Here is a 25,807-nt window from a genome sequence, read left to right as displayed (position 1 = left end):
GTAACTGGAAAAGTCACCAATGAGAATATAGTTTTGGTTTCTCTAAAATAAATCATATGCACCACTGCCTAAAAGATCTAAATTGTATAAATTCAACCCTCAGAAATGAATTAGAATGTGGGCAGCCAAGGAGGCAAACTTTTGGGAGGATATTTTATTGGACAGAAAGCCCCCAAAAGTCCTATATATTTAAGACAGCAGTATCATATGTAGGTTAAAAAACAATGAAACTTTGCAAAGAAGCATTAGTAAAAACTGCAAGTAAAGCTTGGACAATTAAATATTTTTAGATACATAATTTTAAACTATCATCTATCATGTTTTTTTCCTTAATTTGTAATACATGTTAAATGGTGCAAGGCTTATATGATTTAGAGTATTGATTTGATACATTTTAGTTTTTGTATAATTTACTCTTTAGAACATAGTTAACGTACAAGAGTTGCTTAAAAACCAAATATTTTATTCTGAATCGGAGGCAGGGGGGACCAAGTATTTTAATTGTATTGGTGACTTTTTTTAGTGTCTCCAGCCAGTGCTCTTTGTAAAAAACCATGACTCAGTGTGATTTCGCCATCTTCTCCATGGACCACTATATACATTAATGTTTCTTACCTTCTAGGTGTGGGAGTATTTCCCTCACAGGATCCTGCTCAGCCCAGAATGCCTCCTTGGATTTACAATGAGAGTTTGGTTCCAGGTAAAAAAGCTTCTTTACCCAGGATTCCCATCTGGATATTTTGGTTTAAATATTGTAAATGTAGTTGTAAATATTTACTGTTGCACTTACAAAAAATGCAGGAGGAGTTGTCACTTTTCTTTTTTTCTGAAAGAGTACAGAAATTAAATAAATGTCGTGTTTCATAAGACTGCCTCATATATGGAATAACTATATAAATAGAGGAGAATAGTTTTGTTTTAATGTTTTATCAACCATCATACTTTTATTTCTAAAAGCTCTCTTAGATTTATTATGCTTTAATGGACATTATCAAATATTTACTTCAGCAATTAATAACATCAAGAATTTTACCAAAATATTTAATGTAATTTTCTGAATTCTTAGTTTATATTTTTAAAAATATTCTTTCTATGACTTGTCATGTAATACTATATGAAATAAAAGACCATGTGGGATCTTTTTTTTCACATTGGAAGATGTGAAGGATAGTGTTTACTCTTTTTTTTTTTTTTTTTTTTGAGACAAGGTCTTACTGTCACCCAGGCTGGAGTTCAGTGGCAGGATCTTGGCTCACTGCAGCCTTGACCTCCCCAGGCTCAGGCAATCCTCCCACCTCAGCCTCTCAAGTAGCTGGGACTACAGGCGCATGCCACTACACCCAGCTAATTTTTGTATTTTTTTGTAGAGACGGGGTCTCGTCATGTTGCTCAGGCTGGTCTCAAACTCCTGGGCTCAAGTGATCTGCCTGCCTTGGTCTCCCAAAGTGCTGGGATTACAGGTGTGAGCCACTGCACCTGACCTACTTTTTCTTTACATGTATTTTTACTGCTGAGCCAAGAAGAAAAAAAAAAGAAAAGAAAATCCTTAAAGTGCATTTTCTTCTTTAAACAAAAAAAAATTTATTTTTAATTTTTGTGGCTACATAATTGTATATTTTTATGGAGTACATGAGATACTTTGATACAGACATACAATGTGTAATAATCACATCAGGGTAGATAAGGTATCCATTACCTCAAGCATGTATTACTTCTTTGTGTTATGAACATTCCAATTATACTCTGTAAGTTATTTTAAGTGTACAATAAATTATTGTTGACTGTAGCTACCTTGTAGTGCTATCAAATACTAGATCTTATTCCTCCTATCCAACTATATTTTTATGCCCACTAACCATCCCCATTATTCCCCCCCACCACTACCCTTCTCAGCCTCTGGAAACCATCATTCTATTCTCTGTCTCCATGAGTTCAGTTGTTTTAATTTTTAGCTTCCACAAATGAATGAGAATATATGAAATTTGTCTTTCTATGCCTGGCTTATTTCACTTAATATAGTGTCCTCCAGTTCCAACCATGTTGTTGGAAATGACAGGATCTCAATTTTTTTTATGGCTGAATTGTGCTCCATTGTGTATATGTACCACATTTTCTTTATCCATTCGTCTGTCAATGGACACTTAGGTTGCTTTTGAATCTTGGCTTATAAATTAGTACAGCCACTATGGAGAAACCTTTATACTGTTCTCCATAGTGGCTGTACTAATTTACATTCCTACCAACAGTGTACTTGGGTTCCCTTTTCTCCACATCCTCACCAGCATTCGTTATTGCCTGTCTTTTGGATAAAAGCCATTTTAAGTGGGGTGAGATGATATCTCATTGTAGTTTTGATTGACATTGCTCTGATGATCAGTGATGTTGAGCCTCTTTTCATAAACTTGTTTGCTGTTTGCATGTCTTCTTTTGAGAAATGCCTGTTCAGTTGTCTTGCCCATTTTAAAATCAGATTATTAGCTTTTTTTGTATTGAGTTGTTTGAGCTTCTTATATATTTTGGTTATTAATCCCTTGTGAGATGGATAGTTTGCAGATATTTTCTCCCGTTCTGTGGGTTGTCCATTTTGTTGATTGTTTCCTTTGCAGTGCAAAAGCTTTTTAACTTGATGTGATCCCATTTGTCCATTTTTGCTTTGATTGCCTTTACTTTTGGGTTATTACTCAAGACATCTTTGCCCAGACGAATGTCCTGGAGAGTTTCCCCAAGTTTTCTTTTAGTAGTTTCATAGTTTCTGGTCTTAGATTTAAATCTTTAATTCATTTCCATTTGATTTTTTTATTTGGTGTGGGATGGGGTCTAGTTTTATTCTTCTGCATATGGAGATCCAGTTTTTCCAGCACCGTTTATCGAAGAGACCCTCCCCAATGTATGTTCTTGGCACCTTTCTGAAAAATGAGTTCACTGTGGATGTGTGGATTTATTTCTGGGTTCTCTATTCTGTTCCATTGGTCTCTGTGTCTGTTTTTGTGTTATTACTATGCTGTTTTGGTTACTATAGCTTTGTAGTATAATTTGAAGTCAGGTAATATACAGTAATGTACTGTAATTCCTCCAGTTTTGTTCTTTTTGCTCAGAATGGCTTTGGCTATTCTGGGTCCTTTGTGGTACCATATAAATTTTAGGATTATGTTTTCTGTTTCTGTGAAGAATGTAATTGGTATTGATAGGGATTGCATTGAATCTGTACTACCCATTGCTTTGGGTACTATGGACATTTTAACAACATTGATTATTCCAAAACATGAACATGGAATATTTCTCTATTTTTTTATGTCCCCTTCAATTTATTGCATTAATGTTTTATAGTTTTCATTCAAATGCATTTTCTGATACTACTCATAATGACAAAAGGCTGTTACCAAAATAGTATGTACAATTCAACTGTACTTTAAAATAATGGCTTTTCTTCCAAATGCCTGTTAGACAGTTTGCATCTTTTCTTCTCTGTCCTCAAGCCAAACGAATGAAATCTAGATCTTGGTATATTTTGGAGTTTTATCCATTTTCTGCCAGTTTGTATTACTTTACTTTCGCCCTCTTCCTTAGAAGACTAGAAAACATACATGCATGTATACTTTCTAGTCAAAATATGGTTTTTTTTGTTTGTTTGTTTGTTTTTGAGACGGAACCAGTCTGTCACCCAGGCTGGAGTGCAGTGGCGCAATCTCGGCTCACTGCAACCTCTGCCTCCTGGGTTCAAGCAGTTCTCCTGCCTCAGCCTCCTGAGTAGCTGGGGCTACAGGCGTGCACCACCACGCCTGGCTAATTTTTTTTATTTTTAGTAGAGACAGGATTTCACCGTATTGGCTAGGCTGGTCTCGAACTCCTGACCTTGTGACCCGCCCACCTCAGCATCCCAAAGCACTGGGATTACAGGCATGAGCCACCACATCTGGCCAAAAATATGTGTTCTTATGGAGAGCCCACTAACCTGTAATCCATACTTATAATCCCAGATGTAAAATTTTTGTTTTAAACAGTTTCTCTGTCCCCCTTAGCCCTACTAAGTTTCATTTCCCTAACTAAGCTTGCTACATTTAGTAAATAACCATACAGGATGCCCAGTTAAATTTGAATTTCAGGTAAACAGCAAATAATTTTTTAGTATAAGTATGTCCCATGCAATATTGGCATTCTTTATTTTAGCCCTGTATCTAACAACATTTCCCACTTGGTCCTTTGGAAAACCCATGTTATTGTCAAAAACTCACCAACTGTACCCCCCTTTTTAAGACACTTGTTCTGCTTCCTCACCTTAACAGAAACTGGGTCTTTCCTTAAAGGCTGTATTTCCGTAGCACCTTCTCCAATGGTGTTTTCTCTCACAGCCTCTAATTTACTGGAGAAGAGTGATGTTGGTATAATTCTTACTTCCCATTGCTCTTTTCAAACTGTTCCCACCATCATTACTCTACAGCTTCTCTTGTAAAGTCCAAAGCATGCTGTCTTGTTACAATCTTCTACTGAATTATAAGACTTTGTCTTACCTCTAGCCCTAAATTTTATCTTTAGTACCAAACTTCAGACTCTTAATTGTCTGCTGGACATTTCCACTTGAATATCTCAAATTTTTTTTTCTTTTTTTTTTTGAAACGGAGTCTCACTGTTGCCCAGGCTGAAGTGCAGAGTGCAGAGTCGTGATCTTAGCTCACTGCAACCTTTGTCTCGGGGTTCAAGTGATTCTCCTGCCTCAGCCTCCTGAGTAGCTGGGCTTACAGGCACATGCCACCACGTGTGGCTAACTTTTGTATTTTTAGTAGAGATGGGGTTTCACTATGTTGGCCAGGCTGGTCTTGAACTCCTGACCTCAGATGATCTGCTGGCCTTGGCCTCCCAAGTGCTGAGATTACAGACGTGAGCCACCACGCCCAGCTGCACTTGAATATGTTTAAAGCAATTTAAACCCTGACATGGCTTCGGTTCTATTAAAGCAGTTTTGTTGAAGATTATTCTTGTATACCAACAATGGCATCCCAAAAAATAAATCACTTGGAATGTGTTTCCATTTGTAATCTGGTCTTTCCTTTAATAGATGCCTATAAGAAAATCTTAGAAACCACAATGACTCCAACTGGAATAGATACTGCCAAACTGTATCCCATTCTGATGTCATCTGGGCTTCCCAGGGAAACTCTTGGACAGATATGGGCCTTAGCTAATCGAACTACACCTGGCAAACTTACAAAAGAAGAACTTTATACCGTTCTAGCCATGATAGCGGTAACACAGGTAAACAATGTTTCTTAAGTTAGATCAAATAACTTTATTAATATAAATTGCAAGGATATGAAATCTTTTTTACTACATTGTGTAACTCCTTGTACATTAAAATTTAGATCATTTTCAGGATATAGTACTTCAAAAATGTAGAGTTTATAAGATGTGCATAATAGCAAGTTATTCCTTTGTTTAAAGACTTTTTGTTTTGGTTTGTTTTTGAGACTGAGTCTCATTCTGTTGCCCAGGCTGGAGTGCAGTGGCGAGATCTCAGCTCACTGCAGCTTCCGCCTCCCGGGTTCAAGTGATTCTCGTGCCTCAGCCTCCCAAGTAGCTGGGATTACAGGCACCCACCACCATGCCCGGCTACTTTTTGTATTTTTAGTAGAGATGGGGTTTTACCATGTTGGCCAGGCTAGTCTCGAACTCCTGACCTCAAGTGATCCACCTGTCTCGGCCTCCCAAAGTGCTGGGATTACAGGCATGAGCCACCACGCCTGGCCTAAAGACTTTTAATATTAACATTCTCTGAACTTGAAAGTTAGTCAGTAATAGGTGAAATTACTCTGTGTTTTGAAATTCTTCTCTAAAATTTCATAGATACAGATAAAGTATTCTCAGTCTGGTATAAATTTTTCTTTTATTGCAAAGTCATTTTAAATGATTTGATCATATAGAATTAACCAAACTTGTCAGAAAGTGAAAATGTCAGAACTGATATGTGTTGGCCATTTCTTTCTTAAGTATTAGGTTTGCATTGACCTTGTAACTTTTTTTCTTAAATCAAATTCATGAGTTTTGAGAGTTGGAGTGGAAACATGCAAAGGCTACAGATTTTTTTACCTTTCGGTCTCTGCCAGATTTCGACCGTATGTGGTTTACAATCCTCTAATCCATTTTCTTTCTATCATTTGTAGAGGGGCGTTCCTGCAATGAGTCCTGATGCTTTAAACCAGTTCCCAGCAGCTCCTATTCCAACTTTAAGTGGCTTTTCTATGACTCTGCCTACACCGGTGAGTCAGCCAACTGTGATACCTTCAGGTCCTGCGGGCTCCATGCCCCTCAGCCTTGGACAGCCAGTCATGGGCATTAACCTTGTTGGACCAGTGGGTGGAGCTGCAGCCCAGGCTTCTAGTGGTTTCATACCAACCTACCCTGCAAATCAGGTAAATGGCGAAGCTGTGCATATTTCAGATAATCACTGAAAGTGAATCTGGGCACCATTTTTTCCGGGGATACATAGAGTAGGTTACTGGATTATGGTGAGCACATTTAAATTCTTAGGTTGTATCTTTCAGAAAAACTGCTAAACCTGAAATTAAAATACTTTAGTTTTTCACTTCTCAGATTAGCAAAAATGTTTTAAATATATAATATTTAATGTCATTGAAAAAGTAGGGTAAAAGTGACTAATACACTCTAGGCTTATTGGTACAGCCTTGTTGAAAGGCAGACTTGGCAATAGCAATCAAAATTCTACATGTTGAGCTGGGCATGATAGTGTGTACCTGTAGTCCCAGCTACCCTGGAGGCTGAGGCAGGAGGATCACTTGATCCCAGGAGTTCAAGTCTGCAGTGAGCTATGATTACGATCACACCATTGCACTCCTGCTTGGCAACAGAAGGAGACTGAGTTTAAAAAAAAAAAAAAAAAAAAAAGCCTCAGCATGTCTATATCTTCTATCCTAGTAGTCACATTATTAGAAATCTATCCCAAGAATAGTAACTCGAATTAGCAAAGATATACAAGAATTTTTGTTGTAACATTGTTTGTTAGAGTAAAAAGTAGAAATAGCTAAATATCCAACAGGAGGAGAAAGGTTAAATAAATTTCAATTCCTTCACACAGTGGTAATCATTAAACTGAATGAGATAGATCTACATGTACTGCATGGAAATGTGTCTTTGTTATATAGTTAAAGTATAGAGCAATATAGTGTAATCTCATTTGTCTTTAAAACAAATGAGCTGTTAACAGTACTTCTGGAGTGTGGGATTAGGAGTCAGTGTCCACTCTTTGTACATGTATGTGATTGGTTATGATGAGCTTGTGTCACTTAATTTGCAAACATGCATGATATAGCTGTATGTCTTTTTTTTTTTTTTTGTAGCATTTTGACCTTTCCTTTTTAGTTTTTTTTTTTTTTTGAGACAGAGTCTTGCTGTGTTGCCCAGGCTGGAGTGCAGTGGCACGGTCGTGGCTCACTGCAACCTCTGCCTCCCAGGTTCAAGCCATTCTCCTGCCTCAGCCTGCCAAGTAGCTGGGATTACAGGTGCCCGCCACCACACCCGGCTAGATATATCTTTTAAAGATGGTAGGCGCTCAGTAACCCAATGAATATCATTCAGCTATTTTACAAATGTATAGATTAGCTTTTTTTTTTTTTTTTTTTCAGCCAGAGTCTTGCTCTGTCGCCCAGGCTGGAGTGCAGTGGCACAATCTCGGCTCACTGCAACTTCTGCCTCCTGGGTTCAAGTGATTCTCTGGCCTCAGCCACCCACGTAGCTGGGACTACAGGCACATGCCACCATGCGCAGCTAATTTTTGTATTTTTAGTGGAGATGGCGTTTCGCCATGTTAGCCAGACTGGTCTCGAACTTCTGACCTCAGGAGATCTGTCTGCCTCGATCTCCCAAAGTGCTGGGATTATAGGCGTGAGCCACTGCTCCCAGCCTAAATTAGCTATTTAAACCAGTCTTTTACCATTTGTACCAGAGAGTATTTAAAAATACAAAACAGGATTCCTGCCGTAAGCACTTGAGTTAATGTATCTAAACTGAGAAATTTTAAAGGCAGTCTTTGAGATTGACTTTTGATTTGTTGTGTATTTATTTTGTCAGTCAGTGCTATTTATTTAAATGACCTTTATAAACCTAGGTAGTAAAGCCAGAAGAAGATGACTTCCAGGATTTTCAAGATGCTTCTAAGTCAGGATCCCTTGATGACTCATTCAGTGATTTCCAAGAGTTGCCTGCTTCTTCAAAAACAAGTAACTCCCAGCATGGAAACAGGTAGAAAAGAGTTTAATATATTTAACATTGCATTTAACCATTAAGAAAGAGGCATCCATAATAGGAAGGCTAGGTGTGAGAAATTTAAAAATTAAGACTCCTTACTCTACTACTTTCTGTGTTTATTCCCTCTGTATTAATACTTTTACTTTTCAAACTTCTCTCCCCTTTGTCCATCTTAAACTTCAGCTCCTACTGTTTCCTGTAAGTACACACCTGCCTGCCAATATTCTTTTTTACCTGTGCCAAACCTTTATTATAGCTAAGATCACCTGTGCAGTGATGACTTCGTGTTCCTATATTACAGCAAGGTCTTCAACTGTTAAAAAGTTTTTTAGGCAGGAGCACATAATTGCACATTTTTGTAATGTTATGTACTGTTGCTTTTCCACAGAATCATAATTCAGAACTCTAATCATATTCATTCACATTTCTTGTATATTTGACATTAGTGTCTTTTAAGCCTTCAGATTTCTGTTGTTTGCATAGACAGCTGCATAAACATTTCTCTAAGGTTTTACACGCCACCTTAACCTTCAGGTACAGTAACTGATTCAGTATGTTGTCAGCATGTTTAGTTTTTTTTTGAGATGGAGTCTTGCTCTGTCGCCCAGGCTGGAGGGCAGTGGCGTGATCTCGGCTCACTGCAACCTCCACCTCCCAAGTTTTCCTGCCTCAGTCTCCTTAGTAGCTGGGATTACAGGTGTCCACCACCATGCCCAGCTAATTTTTTGTATTTTTAGTAGAGATGGGGTTTCACCATTTCACCATGTTGGCCAGGCTGGTCTCAAACTCCTGACCTCAAGTGAGTCTCTCTACTTGACCTCCTAAAGTGCTAGGATTACAGGCATGAGCCACCATGCCCAGACGGCATTTTAAAAAAAGTATTTAGATATTTCTGCAAAGTGGAACACATCAGACACCAGAGTAAGCGATATGAATTCCTTTGGTTTTATTTTTCGAATTTGTTATTGTCAGAATACATATTCCATGTCTCCTCTGTTCCTGTTTATGCAGTTTCGCTCATCTCTTCCCCTTTAGCCAATTGATTATCTCTTAGTCAGCACTTTGCTGCATACACACTGTAACAAGAACTAAGGGATAGGCATTATAGAGAATTACAAATTAGGAAAAGAGATTATTCTCCTGATTTTAAAAATATATTAAATGCATGTACATAACATATAGAAGAAACATATAAGGAATGTGACCATAGAGTGCTGGTATTTCCAGGACTGCTGCACCAACACAAGTTAAACCTTCTAGACGCATAAATTGTATTTCTACTTCAGATCTCTTCCTTCAAACAAAATTTATATGTACTACTGCTATCTAAGCATCCCTATCTGAATGAGTCAAGGCACCTCAAATTCACTGCATGAAATTACCTTTAGTGTTTTCCTACTCAAAGCCACATAAAAATGTGTTAAATCGTTATTCCCTTCCTTGGTGAATGATGTCACCATATTCAGTCACCAAATTAAAAGCATGCTATTTACTTTGGCTCTGTCATCTCTCCTTTACCACCATTAACTCTGTCAGCTCTGTGTGACAGTGTGTGATCTTAACTCCTGCCCACTCTCAACTCTTGCTATTCCCCATGACTTACACTCCAGCCTTGCCAGCATGACTCCAAACTGACCATGTTCTTTCAAGCTTTATCCATTCTGTTCGCTTCAGTCTGAAATACCCTTACCTGATCTCCCTATAGTTATAGTTCCATTTCAGAAATCAGCTAAATATAGGAAGTTTTTCCTAACCAATTCCCACCTCCTTTGCTACTGCTGTAGTACCTGATGAATGTCTGTGCCCTAATTGTAATTGCTGGTTTACCTGACTGTTTCCCTTTCTAGGCTGTAAGTATCTGAAGACAATTATTCATGTTTATATATGTAGTGCTTGGCCCCATCATATGTAATTAATAAAGATCTGTTGGATGACTATATTATAGTATGTGGGTTATAAACCTAATTTATCAAATGGGTGGTTTATTTCTCTGAGCAAAACTGTTTGTAGATGAAATTAAAATTTGGGGGTAGAAAGTTTTAAGATGGTAGCCAGACCTGAGATATATGGGATATTAGCAATTTTGTGTGGCATTATCTCCATGTAATAGTTTACTTTCGTATATGATACTTTTTTTTTTAATTTATTTTTTTATTGATAATTCTTGGGTGTTTCTCACAGAGGGGGATTTGGCAGGGTCATGGGACAATAGTGGAGGGAAGGTCAGCAGATAAACAAGTGAACAAAGGTCTCTGGTTTTCCTAGGCAGAGGACCCTGCGGCCTTCCGCAGTGTTTGTGTCCCTGGGTACTTGAGATTAGGGAGTGGTGATGACTCTTAACGAGCATGCTGCCTTCAAGCATCTGTTTAACAAAGCACATCTTGCACCGCCCTTAATCCATTTAACCCTGAGTGGACACAGCACATGTTTCAGAGAGCACAGGGTTGGGGGTAAGGTCACAGATCAACAGGATCCCAAGGCAGAAGAATTTTTCTTAGTACAGAACAAAATGAAAAGTCTCCCATGTCTACTTCTTTCTACACAGACACGGCAACCATCCGATTTCTCAATCTTTTCCCCACCTTTCCCGCCTTTCTATTCCACAAAGCCGCCATTGTCATCCTGGCCCCTTCTCAATGAGCGGTTGGGCACACTTCCCAGACAGGGTGGTGGCCGGGCAGAGGGGCTCCTCACTTCCCAGTAGGGGTGGCTGGGCAGAGGCGCCCCTCACCTCCCGGACGGGACGGCTGGCCGGGCGGGGGGCTGACCCCCCCACCTCCCTCCCGGACGGGGCGGCTGGCCGGGCAGGGGGCTGACCCCCCCACCTCCCTCCCGGACGGGGCGGCTGGCCGGGCAGGGGGCTGACCCCCCCACCTCCCTCCCGGACGGGGTGGCTGCCGGGCAGAGATGCTCCTCACTTCCCAGATGGGGTGGCTGCCGGGTGGAGAGGCTCCTCACTTCTCAGATGGGGCGGCTGCCGGGCGGAGGGGCTCCTCACTTCTCAGACGGGGCGGCCGGGCAGAGACGCTCCTCACCTCCCAGACAGGGTCGCGGCCGGGCAGAGGCGCTCCTCACATCCCAGATGGGGCGGCGGGGCAGAGGCGCTCCCCACATCTCAGACGATGGGTGGCCGGGCAGAGACGCTCCTCACTTCCTAGATGTGATGGCAGCCGGGAAGAGGCGCTCCTCACTTCCTAGATGGGATGGCGGCCGGGCGGAGACGCTCCTCACTTTCCAGACTGGGCAGCCAGGCAGAGGGGCTCCTCACATCCCAGACGATGGGCGGCCAGGCAGAGACGCTCCTCACTTCCCAGACGGGGTGGCGGCCGGGCAGAGGCTGCAATCTCGGCACTTTGGGAGGCCAAGGCAGGCGGCTGGGAGGTGGAGGTTGTAGCGAGCCGAGATCACGCCACTGCACTCCAGCCTGGGCACCATTGATACTTTGCAGCTATTCCTCTTACATACAGCTCTGACTTGACTACTTCCATACTTTCCTTGAATGAAACTATTTTTTTTTTTTTTAAGACGGAGTCTTGCTCTGTCTCCAGGCTAAAGTGCAGTTGCGCGATCTCGGCTCACTGCAACTTCTGCCTCCCAGGTTCAAGTGATTCTCCTGCCTCAGCCTCCCTAGTAGCTGGGACTACAGGCACGCGCCACTACACCCAGCTAATTTTTGTATTTTTAGTAGAGATGGGGTTTTACCATATTGTCCAGGCTGGTCTTGAACTCCTGACCTCAGGTGATCTGCCTGCCTCGGCCTCCCAAAGTGCCAGAATTACAGGCGTGAGCCACCATGCCCAGCTGAATGAAACTATTTTGGTTTTATCTAGAATTCATACTCATTATTCATTTATTCATCCAGCAAACATTTATTTAGCATTTGCTATATGCCAGACACTGGGATAGGCATGAGAAATACAGAAGCAAAAACCACAGTTCCTGCTCTAAAGACACTTAGTTTTATCTGGTATTTAAATTATCTGATAACGTTCTCTTAGGATTAGTCCTTAAATGTACATATAAAATGTATTCCCTAGTTTATGATAATCTGTACTCCACATTGTTTTAAAAAGAGATTTGTTAAATCATGGTGTGAATAGCTAAGCCTAGGAAAGACCATTTTGGACAGAAAATGGGCATTACTTGTTAGAGAAGATGAAAGGGCAAGTAAGGTTTTAGGAGTAGACCGGGATGGAGAACATTGTTGGTCTGTGAGAAAATAACATTAGTTAAGGACGGCACCAGTTGTGGGATGGCTTATGACTTATGACATACTCTATTTTAAAGCATTTTATGAGTAAGAAGTGGCACAATGAAAGTGATTATTGCTACTGTGTATAGAATAAATTCAGTTGCCATGGTAATCTTGCTGTGAGATGATGAGAATTACTCAGGGTTTAGAGTTATAGACACTGAACAGTTTATATCTGAGAAATTGGCTAGACTCGGTGTTAAACTAGATAGTCAAAGGAGAGATGGCAGTTGAGCCTGCACATAAGACCTGAAGGGCCTCTGGAAGGCAGCAACATCATCCAGTCATTCATTCAGAAAATACTATGTGCCAGGCACTTGGGAGCCTAATCAACAAAGCAGATATGGGACATTGATCATAGAAAAGTTAACAAGGGGGCCAGGGTTGGCCAGGCACAGTGGCTCACACCTGTAATCCCAGCACTTTGGGAGACCGAGGCAGACATCATCTGAGGTCAGGAGTTTGAGACCAGTCTGGCCAACATGGTGAAACCCCATCTCTACAAAAAAAAAAATACAAAAATTACCCAGGCCTGGTGGTGTGTGCCTGTAATCCCAGCTACTTGGGAGGCTGAGGCAGGAGAATTGCTGAACTTGGCAGGTGGAGTTTGCAGTGAGCCAAGATCACGCCACTGCACTCCTGCCTGGGAGACAGAGTAAGAATTTGTCTTAGAAAAAAAAAAAAAGCTGGCGGGGAAGGCTGGGTGCAGTGGGTCTTGCCTGTAAACCTAGCACTTTGGGAGGCCAAGGCGGACAGATCACTTGAGCCCAGGATTTCACTTGATCCTGGACAACCTATGGAAATGCCATCTCTACAAAAAATGCAAAAATTAGCTGTGCATGGTGGTGCATGCCTGTAGTACCAGCTGTCCCACCTACTTGGGATGCTGAGGCAGGAGAATCACTTGAACCTAGGAGGTCGAAACTGCAGTGTGCTATGATCATGCCGCTGCACTCCAGCCTGGGCAACAGAGCAAGACACTGTCTCAAAAAAATAAATAAATAAAAGTTCACAAAGGGTTAACATATAGGACTTTGGGGTTGGTTAGTTTATTCTGCTGAAATCAAAATATTTCTTTTTAAATGTATATATTTAGCAGGGTAAGCAACTAAATAAAGCTATCTACCACAGTCATATGGAGTGATTGTAAAACACTAATAGATTCACTAGAGAAAATGTAAAATACTTTTTTGTGGCCGAATTTTTTAAGTCTTACCTTTTAGTAGAATACAGGTTCTTAAGTGTAAAATCATATATGCCTTTCTCACTTGAGTATTTTCATTAGTGTGAAAGTGTAGAAATACCGTCTTCATGTTTGGAGCGGTTGATGACTACTATGTAACTGGCATAAACACTTTCATGGTGATTACAGTGGTTTTTTAAAATAATAACTTCAGAGAAAGAACTGGAATGAAATATTCATTTGCAGTATGCATAAAATTACAGTCTTGAGTCATAACTTTTTTTGAATGGAATTTTGTTGACTTTAATCAGCAAGCAGTAGTTCATTACCCTAAAGATTCTGTTGTTGTTTTTTTTTCCAATTCTGTGAATATAATTTTAAAATTAATAATCAATTAAGTGTAACATTTAGTAGAAAGATTTTTACCATTGAGCCTTAAAAGACCGTAGCTAAAGCTGGAGGGTCATGAAAAATAAAGAAATCATTCAACTTTGGGGGTTTTTTTTCCCTAAGATGTTAATTTCCTTTATTCCCATGTAACATTCTGTACAGTGAACTGTACTTTAATTACTTATGGAACTTTTAAAAAGTCCACTTACAATGTATAGGTGATGACTTATTTCATTTGTCAAGATCAGTTATGTAGCAGCTGTTTGGTGGTGACGTGAAATCATAATATTTGATGGCATTAAGCCCTAAAGGACTGTGTACCCCATTAGCATGCAGCTACCAGAGCCTAGTTTTTACCTTGCTTGTAAGCCACTGATAAGAAGGTTTAAATGACTGTGGAAAGATTTTTGCTCCAGGGCGAAGAACTCAATAGAAATCCATTTATATAACTTGTGCATGGTATTGAATGACACAAACTAGTGGTGGAATGTAGTCATTCATATGTAAAGGTGGTTCTTCCAGGGAGCTGCCTGGGTCTGATAAGAGAAGAAGAAGAAGAAGAAGAAGAAAAAGTAATGCTTTTATAGTATGTGTTTAAGCCTTCTAAGAATTACCTGCACAGATGCTACTCATTACGCTATTTTTCCATCCAGCACGAAATATGTCCACAGGCAAAAGTATCTTTATCTAATTTTGAAGTGATTGTTGTTTTGTTACAAAGATAGCTTCTAGAACCGCTGATGTGATCTTTGTAAAAATGCAAATTGTATTAACTCTATGGCAGCTTATCAGATGTATGCACTTCTGCCAGTAGGCAGTGCAGTACAATCAGAAGAAAAACAATTTACATTTTGGCTTGAACAGCATTTCATAAATAGATTTTTATCTCAACTATTCTACCTCTGCACTCTGAACCCATTGAAGTTAATAATTTATATTAAGGTTAACATGATTTATTTTAAAATATTGAGTATACATATGTGGAACAGTTCACTTTTGCAGTTTTATGGACCTTAAGTTAAAATTGCAGGAAGTCATCATTCTTTAATAATCTACTTCCAACGCCATTCCAGTTGTTATTACGGCTTAAAGAGATGGTTAGACAGTCAGCATGGATCTGACCCCTCTTCATTTAATCAAGAAAAAAATGATTGTTTGGGTAATGTTTTTTGTTTTGTTTTGTTTTTTGAAAAAGGACATGGTTTTTTTTTTATTTGTGGTATATATGTATACTATATAGTTTTCTAACTTTTAAAGCAGAGAGCCATGAGTTTTAATGAAATACCTGTTTGCCATTTTAATTCTAACTTCCTTTTAGATGATAAAGGAGGGATTCAATGTCATCAAAATATGTTTATTTTTTCCTTCAGTGCCCCTTCTTTGTTGATGCCACTTCCTGGAACTAAAGCATTGCCTTCAATGGACAAATATGCTGTGTTTAAAGGAATTGCAGCTGACAAGTCCTCTGAAAATACTGTTCCACCTGGAGGTAAAAAGTTGGTAAATTCATAAACTTGTGAATGCTAAATTGCATACTATTTAAATTGTATGAATCTTTAAGTGGTGGTCTTCTGTGCTAAATATGTAAAATGCCTGTATACCACATGTTAATAGTGTTTGGTTAAACCAATCTGCCTCACTTCCTGGAGCTGTGATTTCAAGATTCCTAACCTTAACTGAGCTTCTGTCCTTTCTATCATAGATCCTGGTGATAAATATAGTGCTTTCAGAGAACTTGAACAGACAGCAGAGAATAAACCTTTAGGTAAGTTTTTGAGTCCTCAAAAGGATAAATTATTTCCATTTTTAATAAAAAAGGGGTTTTCGATGGTTCTTTCAGTGGCATTCCCTTTATTTTAGTGTGTGTGTGTCTGTGTGTTTAGGAGAAAAAAACTGAATGGACAAAACAATATGGTATAGTAGTGATGTTTATAATAGATACTCAAACTATAAGTATTCTAATTCAAAAAACCTTAATAATAGCAACCGTGTTTAGGCTGGGTGCAGTGGCTCACGCCTGTAATCCCAGCAGTTTGGAAGGCCAAGGAGGGTGGATCACCTGAGGTCAGGAGTTTGAGACCAGCCTGGCCAACGTGGCAAAACCCTGTCTTTACTAAAAATATGAAAATTAGCCGGGTGTGATGGTGCGCACCTGTAGTCCCGGGTACTCGGGAGGCTGAGGCAAGAGAATCGCTTGAACCCAGGCAGAGGTTGCAGTGAGCTGAGATTGTGCCACTGCACTCCAGTCTGGGTGACAGAGCAAGACTCCATCTCAAAAAAAAAAAAAAAATAGCTATTGTTTTTAAAAAATATCATGATAGGGTCGGGCACAGTAGCTCACACCTGTATTCCCAGCACTTTGGGAGGCCGATGTGGGCGGATCACCTGAGGTCAGGAGTTCCAGACAAGCCTGGCCAACATGGTAAGACCCCATCGCTACTAAAAATACAAAAAAGTTAGCCAGGCATGGTAGCACATGCCTGTAGTCCCAGCTGCTCAGGAGGTTGAGGCACAAGAATCGCTTGAACTCAGGGAGGCAGAGGTTGCAGTGAACCAAGATCATGCCACTGCACTCCAGCCTGGGCAACACAGCAAGATTCCATCTCAAAAAAAAAAAAAAATGATAGGTGCTGAATGGGGGATTATCTAGTAGAAGGGGGATAAGATTACTTCTTATGGTTCTGGAGATTACAAGGAGGTAAATGTGCTTCAGCTATTGAGAATTATTTATTTTCTAAAATTTAGGGCATACCAGGCACAGTGGCTCATGCCCGTAATTCCAGCACTTTGGGAGGCCAGAGTGGGAGGATGGCTTGAGCCCAGGAGTTTGAGACCAGCCTGGGCAACATAGTGAGACCTTGTCTCTACAAAAAATGAAAATAAATAAATAAAAAATAAGCCAGATATGGTGGTGCACACCTGTGGCCCCAGCTATTCCAGAGGCTGAGGTGGGAGGATTGCTTGAGCCTGGGAGGTCGAGGCTGCAATGAGCCATGATTGTGCCACTGTACCCCAGCCTGGTCACAGTAAAAATAAAATAAAATTCAGGGCAAATTCCAAATCAGTGTAGTTTCCTCTGAAGATAGGACATTCCCTTTCACGGGAAGCTTGCATGACAAGTTAAATTCCCTTGTCAAATGAGAGCCATGGTTACTCTGATTTATTACACTGCTCAACAATGTACTGCTAATACTCAAACTACACTGCTTGAAGTATTAGCAGTACAGCAATCTGCGGACTGTAAAGGCAGCAACTAGTCTTTTTTTTTTGAAACAGAGTTTTATTTTTGTCAACCAGGCTAGAGTGCAATGGCATGATCTTGGCTCACTGCAACCTCCACCTCTTGGGTTCAAGCGATTCTTCTTTCTCAGACTCTCAAGTAGCTGGTGTTACAGGTACCTGCCACCATGCCTGACTAATTTTCATATTTTTAGTAGAAACGGGGTTTCACCATGTTGGCCAGGCTGGTCTGAAACTCCTGACCTCAGGTGATCTGCCCGCCTCGGCCTCCCACAGTGCTGGGATTACAGGCGTGAGCCACCACACTTGGCCAGTCTTTTTCTTTTCAAGATTTTTTTTTCTATTGTTGTTGCGGTACTTGGTACCATTATTATTTGGTTTTTTTTAGCCTTTCACTCATGATCTAGAAAGAAAATATTCTAGAATAACATTATTAAAAATGACTTGATTAAGGCATAGTCACTGCTACATATCACAAAGCAGGTACAAGATACATTCACAGAGGTGTATTACAGTACTGTCTTACATCTATAATACTAGAGCGTACAATTAAAAAGGCATTATATAAGATTTGATTCTACTCTTCCAGCAGAGAGCCCAAAGGATGGTAGGACACAGCTCTCATACAGAAATATACCTTCTTAGCTAGGATTTTCCTTCATTAGTAGCATGGTTATAGGTACTCACTTTTCTTCATGAACATCAGCTAAAAATAATTTAAAAACAAACCAATGAAACATTGGATTCCTACAAAGATGACCAAGTGGGAGTAAGCAGGACTCAACCGAACTCGTATTTTACCAAATCCTTCATGTTAGAATGGTGAGAGCTCTGTGAAGGAAAGGGAATGGCAAGTAGCAGTTCAAAGCTCGGGCCACAACCAAGACACAGGATCATTTCAAACAGAAGCAGTAACCAAACAATGCTCACTTAGTATGTTCAAGGATACAGACGTCAAGACGCCAGTGTTCAATCATCTGCGCACTAATCCAGTAAGAATGAGTGATCAGTTACTATACTTTGCTTGTGTTAAACTCAATCACCACTTTACAAGATTTTCAAGATTGGCTATAATTTAATGAGAAAGATGAAGAGAGAGGGATTTATGTGCCCATGTGGTTACCATCTCCGATAGTAAGACTTAGAGTACAAGGGAATATAAAATGATCATTTGGGAGTCATATATGTAAAAACTGAAAGTTATGTTTGTGGTTAAATCCTACTGTAAACATGATGGGTAGGGTTTAGATAACCCATAGGTCAAATTATGTTCTGCAAAGCTTAACTATGCATGCTATGAAATGTGTATACTCTAATGAGAATTTCCTTCTGGGAACAATACCACATTCTATCTTTACGTATTGAATGCTCAAACTTGGGACATCCTTCAGCAATCTTTTATTTCTACTCTTCTGCTAGGGGTAGGGGAGAGAAGGTAGGTAGGTATGGTAGAAACTGTATTGCTTAATCATCTTTAAAGAAGGAAAGCCCACCTCTTATAAGAATATTCAGCCCCATATAACTGTTAGGTTCTAGAAATATTTTCTTGTGTTTTATCCAAGCTTTTAGAATGTAATAGCCATTTCTTCCTCAGTGCCTGTATCAGATACACAGTGGGAGTAACAGAGATAAACCTGAGGGGATCTTTTGACTTGTTAGGTTTTTATTTACACCTAGCAATGCTTTCATCAACACTTGGGCCAAGATAAGTTTGGAGTAAAGAGCACATGGTTTAACATGAGGATTCTTGTGTAATATGGTATTAATGACCATAATGTGTATTCCCGTAATAGACAATAGGAAAAGACAGTGGTGTCACCAAAATGTAAGCAGTACCTTAGTCCTGCCTTTTCAATACCTTTTTTTTTTTCTGAGAGACAGTGTATTGCTCTGTCATCCAGCCTGGAGTGCAGTGGCGCAGTCATAGCTCACAGCAGCTTCCAACTCCTGGACTCAAGCAGCCTCAGCCTCCGTCCCAAGTGGCTGGTACTGTAGATGTGCATCACCACAGTGGGGTCTTGCTGTGTTGCCCAGGCTAGTCTTGAACTCCTGGCCTCAAGCAATCTTTCCAGCTCAGCCTCCCAAAATGCTGGGATTACAAGTGTGAGCCACCATGGCCAGCCACATTTCAGTACTTTTTAAACAAAGTTCCAGATTGTTGTTATTTTCATTTACTTGCTTTCATTCCTATCTTAACTTTAATTCTAAGGTTTTCCAAGTAGAGTTGCCAACTTTGTTCATTTTAGGAGAATAGATTTTATTTTCCTAAATGGTGTGATATATTTTTTATACTCAAAAAATACATTGGCTTGACTTCGTCAAAGTACGTTAGTATCTTAGAATTTATGAAGAATCTTATAGTATTGTGTTGTTCAGAGCTGTGGGTTTCTTAGGTTACTGAATGACAGAGTTTAATAATGTTTCCTTTTTTCCATCTCCAGAGTTTAAGCCATAAATTAAAGTAAATGAGGAAATGTTCTGTATAAAGAAATGACACATTTTTATTGAAATTTTAGCAAAAAAGTGGTCCCTTTTGAGATTTTTTGGAGTCTAAAAAGTGACGGAGAGGGAAACTTACAAGTATGTAGACATTAACCAAAAATCTAACCATGAAATAATATGCTTAATATGCCTTCTGATAGACAAGCTTCCATTGACTGTGACTAATTTATTTGCCAACAAATTCCCTTTGTAAACTCACCCGCTTTTATTTCCTTTTAGCCCTTTCACCCAGCTTACATTTCCAATGGAAAAGTTTACAATTCATCAGTAAGTGTAGTTTGCTGTGGTGATTAAAACAAACAAACAAACAAAGCAATACTTGTCAATTTCACAGATATTTCAAAGCAACACATTAAAAATTTAGGCTGTGATAAAAATGGCCGCTTATCACCTCTACATTTTCAGAAATAATACAAGTATAATCAGTGATACTACTAATCTAAAATTCTAGGGTGATTTTTAAAAGTTTTACATCTTCTGTCAGTTTGTGAAATTGACTTGAGTTTTACTAGTGGTATGTCTTACAAATATAAATTACAGGAAATCTGAATGCTGTTCCTCTCTTATTAGATGAATTCCTTGGTGTTGATGAATTATGCTGGTGAATTGGTTAACTATCTCAGGTTAGGAGGAAAAATTAGCTTGTATTGTTTTTGGTGCTTTTTTTTTTTCATCTGCTATATCCAAGTACATATCTTGTTACAAGCACAGTATATTTTATTTTTTAAATTTATTTTTATTTTTATTTTATTTATTTATTTATTTTGATACGGAGTTTTGCTCTTGTTGCCCAGGCTGGAGTGCAATGGCACAATCTCGGCTCACTGCAACCTCTGTCTCCAGGGTTCAAGCGATTCTCCTGCCTCAGCCTCCCAAGTAGCTAGGATTACAGGCACCTGCCACCACACCCAGCTAATTTTTTGTATTTTTAGTAGAGATGGGGTTTCACTATGTTGGCCAGGCTGGTCTCAAACTCCAGACCTCAGGTGACCCACCCGCCTTGGCCTTCCAAAGTGCAGGGATTACAGTCGTGAGCCACCGTGCCTGGCCCAAGCACAGTATATTTTAAGCCTGCATTATTTTATATGCCAATTTAAGAATTGGATTTTGGTTCTCAATACATTTTTATTATTGATATGCTCTTATATGTCATTTTTAGGGGAAAATGTAATTTTTAAAAATGGGTGAGGAAATTAAAGCTTATATTTTAATTTACTTAATTTTAATCTCCAGAAATGGCAGTCATTTTTTAAAATAATAAATGATGTTGGTTGGTATAGCTATATTTATTTGTTTTTTTATTTTTATTTTTGAGACAGAATCTCTCTCTGTCCCCCAGGCTGGAGTGCAGCGGTGGGATCTTGGCTCACTGCAAGCTCCGCCTCCCAGGTTCAAACAATTCTTGTGCCTCAGCCTCCCGAGTAGCTGGGATTACAGGCATGTGCCTCCATGCCCAGCTAATTTTTCTGTATTTTAAGTAGAGATGGGATTTCTCCATGTTGGCCAGGCTTGTCTTGAACTCCTCCTGGCCTCAAGTGATACACCCTCCTTGGTCTTCCAAAGTGCTGGGATTACAGGTGTGAGCCACTGTGTTCGGCCTTGGCATAACTATATTTACATTTGGTTTATCTCTGGTTTTTATTACCTGGTATAGCCTAGTGGATTTTATGGTAGACCTTCAGATGCTATTAGAAAACTGAGATCATCTGTATCCTGATGCTGTACCTGAGTGATGATAACATTACTATGATAATAAAGAATATAGAAACCTTTTAAGAATCACAGGCCTTGGGCCGGGTGCTGTAGCTCACGCCTGTAATCCCAGCACTTTGGGAGGCCGAGGCAGGTGGATCAGCCGAGGTCAGGAGTTCAAAACCAGCCTACGTGACGTGGTGAAACCCCGTCTCTACTAAAAATACAAAAATTAGCCGGGCGTGGTGGCAGGTGCCTGTAATCCCAGCTACTTGGGAGGCTGAGGCAGGAGAATCGCTTGAACCTGGGAGGTGGAGGTTGCAGTGAACTGAGATCACACCATTGTACTCCAGCCTGGGCGACAATAATGAAACTCTGTCTCAAAAAAAAAAGAATCATAGGCCTAAATTTTTATCAATGTCTTAACTGAGTCTGTTTAATTATTTATGAGAAGTACATAAGTACCCACTCTATTTAACCAGAATATAAAAATAAACAAATCTGAGACACATGTTTCTCAGGATCTCTTGAGAGCTGTGTCATGGGCAAAAGAAATTTTATTTAAAAAATAAATAAATAAATAAACAATTCCGTCAGTTACCCCATCCTCAGAGTAGCATAATGTAAACTAAAGTCTAAGTCATACCCTCTAAAACTTTATATAATAGAGTTGGTATTTATTCAAATCCTTTTGAATTTTAATAAATAAAAATAAGTGCTCATTGATACAGTGAGACAGCTGATTTCTAGAAAAGCTCAAGTGCTCAAGGACTTTTTTTCTGTGAGATTCAGCTTATTAGAGACTATAGGGAGGAGCTGCTTTACAATGTGCCCCACCTAGAATGCTTTGCAAATAAATAGATACCTTTTCAAAAATTTTCATCAAAGTTCCCTTCAAATTAATGCCTTCATTTACTTGAGCAAGACCACATAGTATCTAATGTTATTCTTAAAGTGCCTGGCTAAACCAAGTGTTGTACATCCTGAATATTAGATGTAGGATTTTTCATAATACTTTATTGGTACCTCTGATTTTTTTAATGGGTAACATGTTTATCTTTAAAGGGCCACTGTTTTAATATGCCTCTCTTCAAGAACCTCTAGCCCTATTTCTTATTGTATTGTCTGCTTGGCTGGCTAGCTGTGGGAACAAAAAGTCTTGAGAGGAGTACTTTTAGCCAGTTGTAGGATCTAGAGCTAAGAGAGATCCCACACTAAAAGCATGAGCAAATGAAAATGGTACCGTCAGGTACTTTCAGTTCGATTTCTATTTATTTCAGTATCACTAGACTTCAGTGTGGAAATAAATGTGTAGTTCGATAGGGTTTAAAGTATGTAAACATTATTAAGTAATGTCAAGTCAGTGGAGAAAAGTCAGTAAAATTATGCTTGCAGTTTAATATACTGTGTATTATATGGTTTTCAGTTCAGCATTCCCATTTGTTTGGTGGTATTTTTTCTTTCAGGAGAAAGCTTTGCAGAATTCAGATCTGCAGGAACTGATGATGGTTTCACCGATTTTAAAACAGCCGATAGTGTATCACCACTAGAGCCACCAACAAAAGACAAAACTTTTCCACCATCCTTCCCCTCAGGAACTATACAACAGAAACAACAAACACAAGTGAAAAACCCTCTGAACTTAGCAGACCTAGATATGTTTTCCTCAGTTAATTGCAGCAGCGAGAAACCATTGTCTTTTTCAGCTGTGTTTAGCACATCAAAATCAGTTTCTACACCACAGTCAACAGGTTCTGCTGCTACTATGACAGCATTGGCAGCAACAAAAACTTCTAGTTTGGCTGATGATTTTGGAGAATTCAGCCTTTTTGGGGAATATTCTGGTCTAGCACCTGTTGGGGAGCAGGATGACTTTGCAGATTTTATGGCTTTCAGTAATAGCTCTATTTCATCTGAGCAAAAGCCGGATGACAAATATGATGCCCTTAAAGAGGAAGCCAGTCCTGTTCCTCTAACCAGCAACGTGGGCAGCACAGTGAAGGGTGGACAAAACTCGACTGCTGCGTCTACCAAGTACGATGTCTTCAGACAACTTTCTCTGGAAGGGTCTGGACTAGGTGTTGAAGACCTGAAAGATAACACTCCTTCAGGAAAAAGTGATGATGATTTTGCTGACTTCCACTCCAGTAAATTTTCTTCCATAAACTCGGACAAATCCCTGGGAGAGAAAGCAGTGGCTTTCAGACACACCAAAGAAGACTCTGCATCAGTGAAGTCCTTAGATCTCCCTTCCATTGGTGGCAGCAGTGTTGGCAAGGAGGACTCTGAAGATGCACTCTCTGTTCAGTTTGACATGAAATTGGCTGATGTGGGAGGAGATCTTAAGCATGTCATGTCTGATAGCTCTTTGGATTTACCAACAGTTAGTGGCCAGCATCCTCCTGCTGCAGGTGAGGAATTGGTGAGATTGCTCTGGTGATGGTGTTGTAGATTTCAAAGATGATTCTGCGGGTGTTGATTTACATGAGTAAGGCTCTGGCCCTTTAGCTTTATGAATCTCTAATAATCAACCTCTTTATTGCCAGTCTCCTTAAAGCAGTGTTAAATTTGATTCTATGGATACTTGATATGGATACTATGGCTACTGTGGAACTTAGATTGGGTAGCTAAGATATTTTTATTTTTGAAATCTAGCACCAGCTTGGTGTTAGAGGCACATAAAAAGTCACTGCTAAGTGAACCTCACATTGCCAGAAATTTGATAAAGACCTTTGCAGTGCCGGCAGTGTTCCTTCATTTCTGTGAGTAAAATCAGTGTTTCCCTCTCCTTTTTTCTTCTCTTGGGTATACACAGCAACTGCCAGTATAGTATTCTGTTTGATTTACAGAAATTAACTCTTGTTAGGTCAAGAAAGTAAAAATTTCTAACCACTTGTAGTGCAGTTTGCCACATCCTTTTAAGAGAAGAAGAGGGAAAGAGTTTATATATGAATGTTCTGTATGTCAGGGCCTGGCAAAGAGGAGGGTGTGTGTTGTCAGTGGAATCCAGGAGCTGTTTTCAGTGTTAACTCTATTACTGGAAATATTAAGTTGTAACAAATCTGTAGATGCTAGGATAGGGTAACTGCTAACTTTCTGATAAAATGTTTGAAAACATCTTATTAGGGAGCCCTCTTTAAATTCTGTGTAGATTTACATGTAGCAATTTACTCTCTAGTTCAACTTCTGTCATAAAAACTAGATTCCCAAGTGTCCTGGTTTTTCTTTTGTTTTGTTTTTTGATATGTATATAGAAAGATAAACCTATTTTGTGGCCTTTTAATAATGAGAAATATCTCAGTATCACTGTATTATTCTAGAAAATGTATTATGCATATGAAGGATTTGGTTTTGTCTAACTAGGGGGGACACGTGAGACACTTCCAAGTTTACAGATTCAGGCAGAAATTGTAAAGTCCTATAGCTTTTGCATATGTCAAATTGGCAAGTCGGAAAACAAAATTGCATCCATCCTTTGGTTATGGAAATGTTGTAGGTATTGCTAAACAGGCTGCTGAATCAGGAGCAAGTTAGCAGAGACATTGCATGTTTCATGTTGCTACTTGCTAAGGTATTTTTCAAATGCAGTGGGCGGTCTGAAGAGCTCCTGTGCCCTTGACTGTCTACTTTCTGTCTTTTTTTTTTTTTTTGTACTTTTCCTCAGAAATTTTCTTATTTTTTTGCTGCTGTTTGTTTGATAGAGTGATTGTGGGTTTTGTTTTGTTGGTTTTTTTTTTTTATGAGCTGCTTGAACCACAGCAGTTGGTTGCAAAGTGCTCTGTTTTCTGAACAATATTGGATTTTTATTTAAAAATCTCATAACATGTATACTAGCCTTTTGGACTCTGAAGTTATTAATTAGAAACTATTTTTCTGAAAGTGAATCTATATTCTTTCACAGTGCCAAGGTAGATGTCTTTATGAAATGAGGCTAATCCGGGTTTGGGGTGTCTTTTTTTTTCCCCCATTTTATTTGGAGGTTGGTTTTTTTGACCAAGCTTGTTCTTACTGACCTGTTAAAATAATCTTCTGTGCTCATGTTCTTTTATGTATGTTTGGAACATCCTCAGCTTGGAGCCTGTAATGTTCAAGCTAACTCTTCAGTTGGAGGATATTCTTAAAAGCAGATTGTTTCCTCCCATTGATCTGTAAACCTCCTGTCAGAAAGGAGCAGTATCCCTTTAGAGCGGTTGTTAAAAGGGGTTGATGTCTGACCAATGCGCTATATTGCTGTTGTGCAAAATTGCTGCATCAATGTATTGTAGAGGGTAAATGGCAAGGACTTATTCAAA

At 39.5% G+C, this 25,807-nt stretch overlaps 1 protein-coding gene across 52 annotated transcripts in view; it reads left to right on the top strand.

Moving 5' to 3' along the window:
• The window catches only part of SYNRG (synergin gamma), a 94,612-nt gene that overhangs the window by 32,378 nt on the left and 36,427 nt on the right, over nt 1-25,807 (top strand). For 51 of the 52 annotated variants that reach the window (XM_017024081.3, XM_047435226.1, XM_047435249.1 and 48 more), the window contains 7 exons: nt 623-700; nt 5,054-5,250; nt 6,156-6,404; nt 8,117-8,250; nt 15,452-15,570; nt 15,784-15,846; nt 22,982-23,926. In XM_017024081.3, coding sequence (XP_016879570.1) covers nt 623-700; nt 5,054-5,250; nt 6,156-6,404; nt 8,117-8,250; nt 15,452-15,570; nt 15,784-15,846; nt 22,982-23,926 — 1,785 coding nt within the window. The remainder of the gene's footprint in view (nt 1-622; nt 701-5,053; nt 5,251-6,155; nt 6,405-8,116; nt 8,251-15,451; nt 15,571-15,783; nt 15,847-22,981; nt 23,927-25,807) is intronic. The other variant, NM_001163547.3, reaches the window with a different exon arrangement.

Source organism: Homo sapiens, chromosome 17, assembly GCF_000001405.40.
Source record: "Homo sapiens chromosome 17, GRCh38.p14 Primary Assembly".
Taxonomy (NCBI): domain Eukaryota; kingdom Metazoa; phylum Chordata; class Mammalia; order Primates; family Hominidae; genus Homo; species Homo sapiens.
Note: the sequence above shows the minus strand (reverse complement) of the source record. Positions and strands in the feature narration are given on the sequence as shown.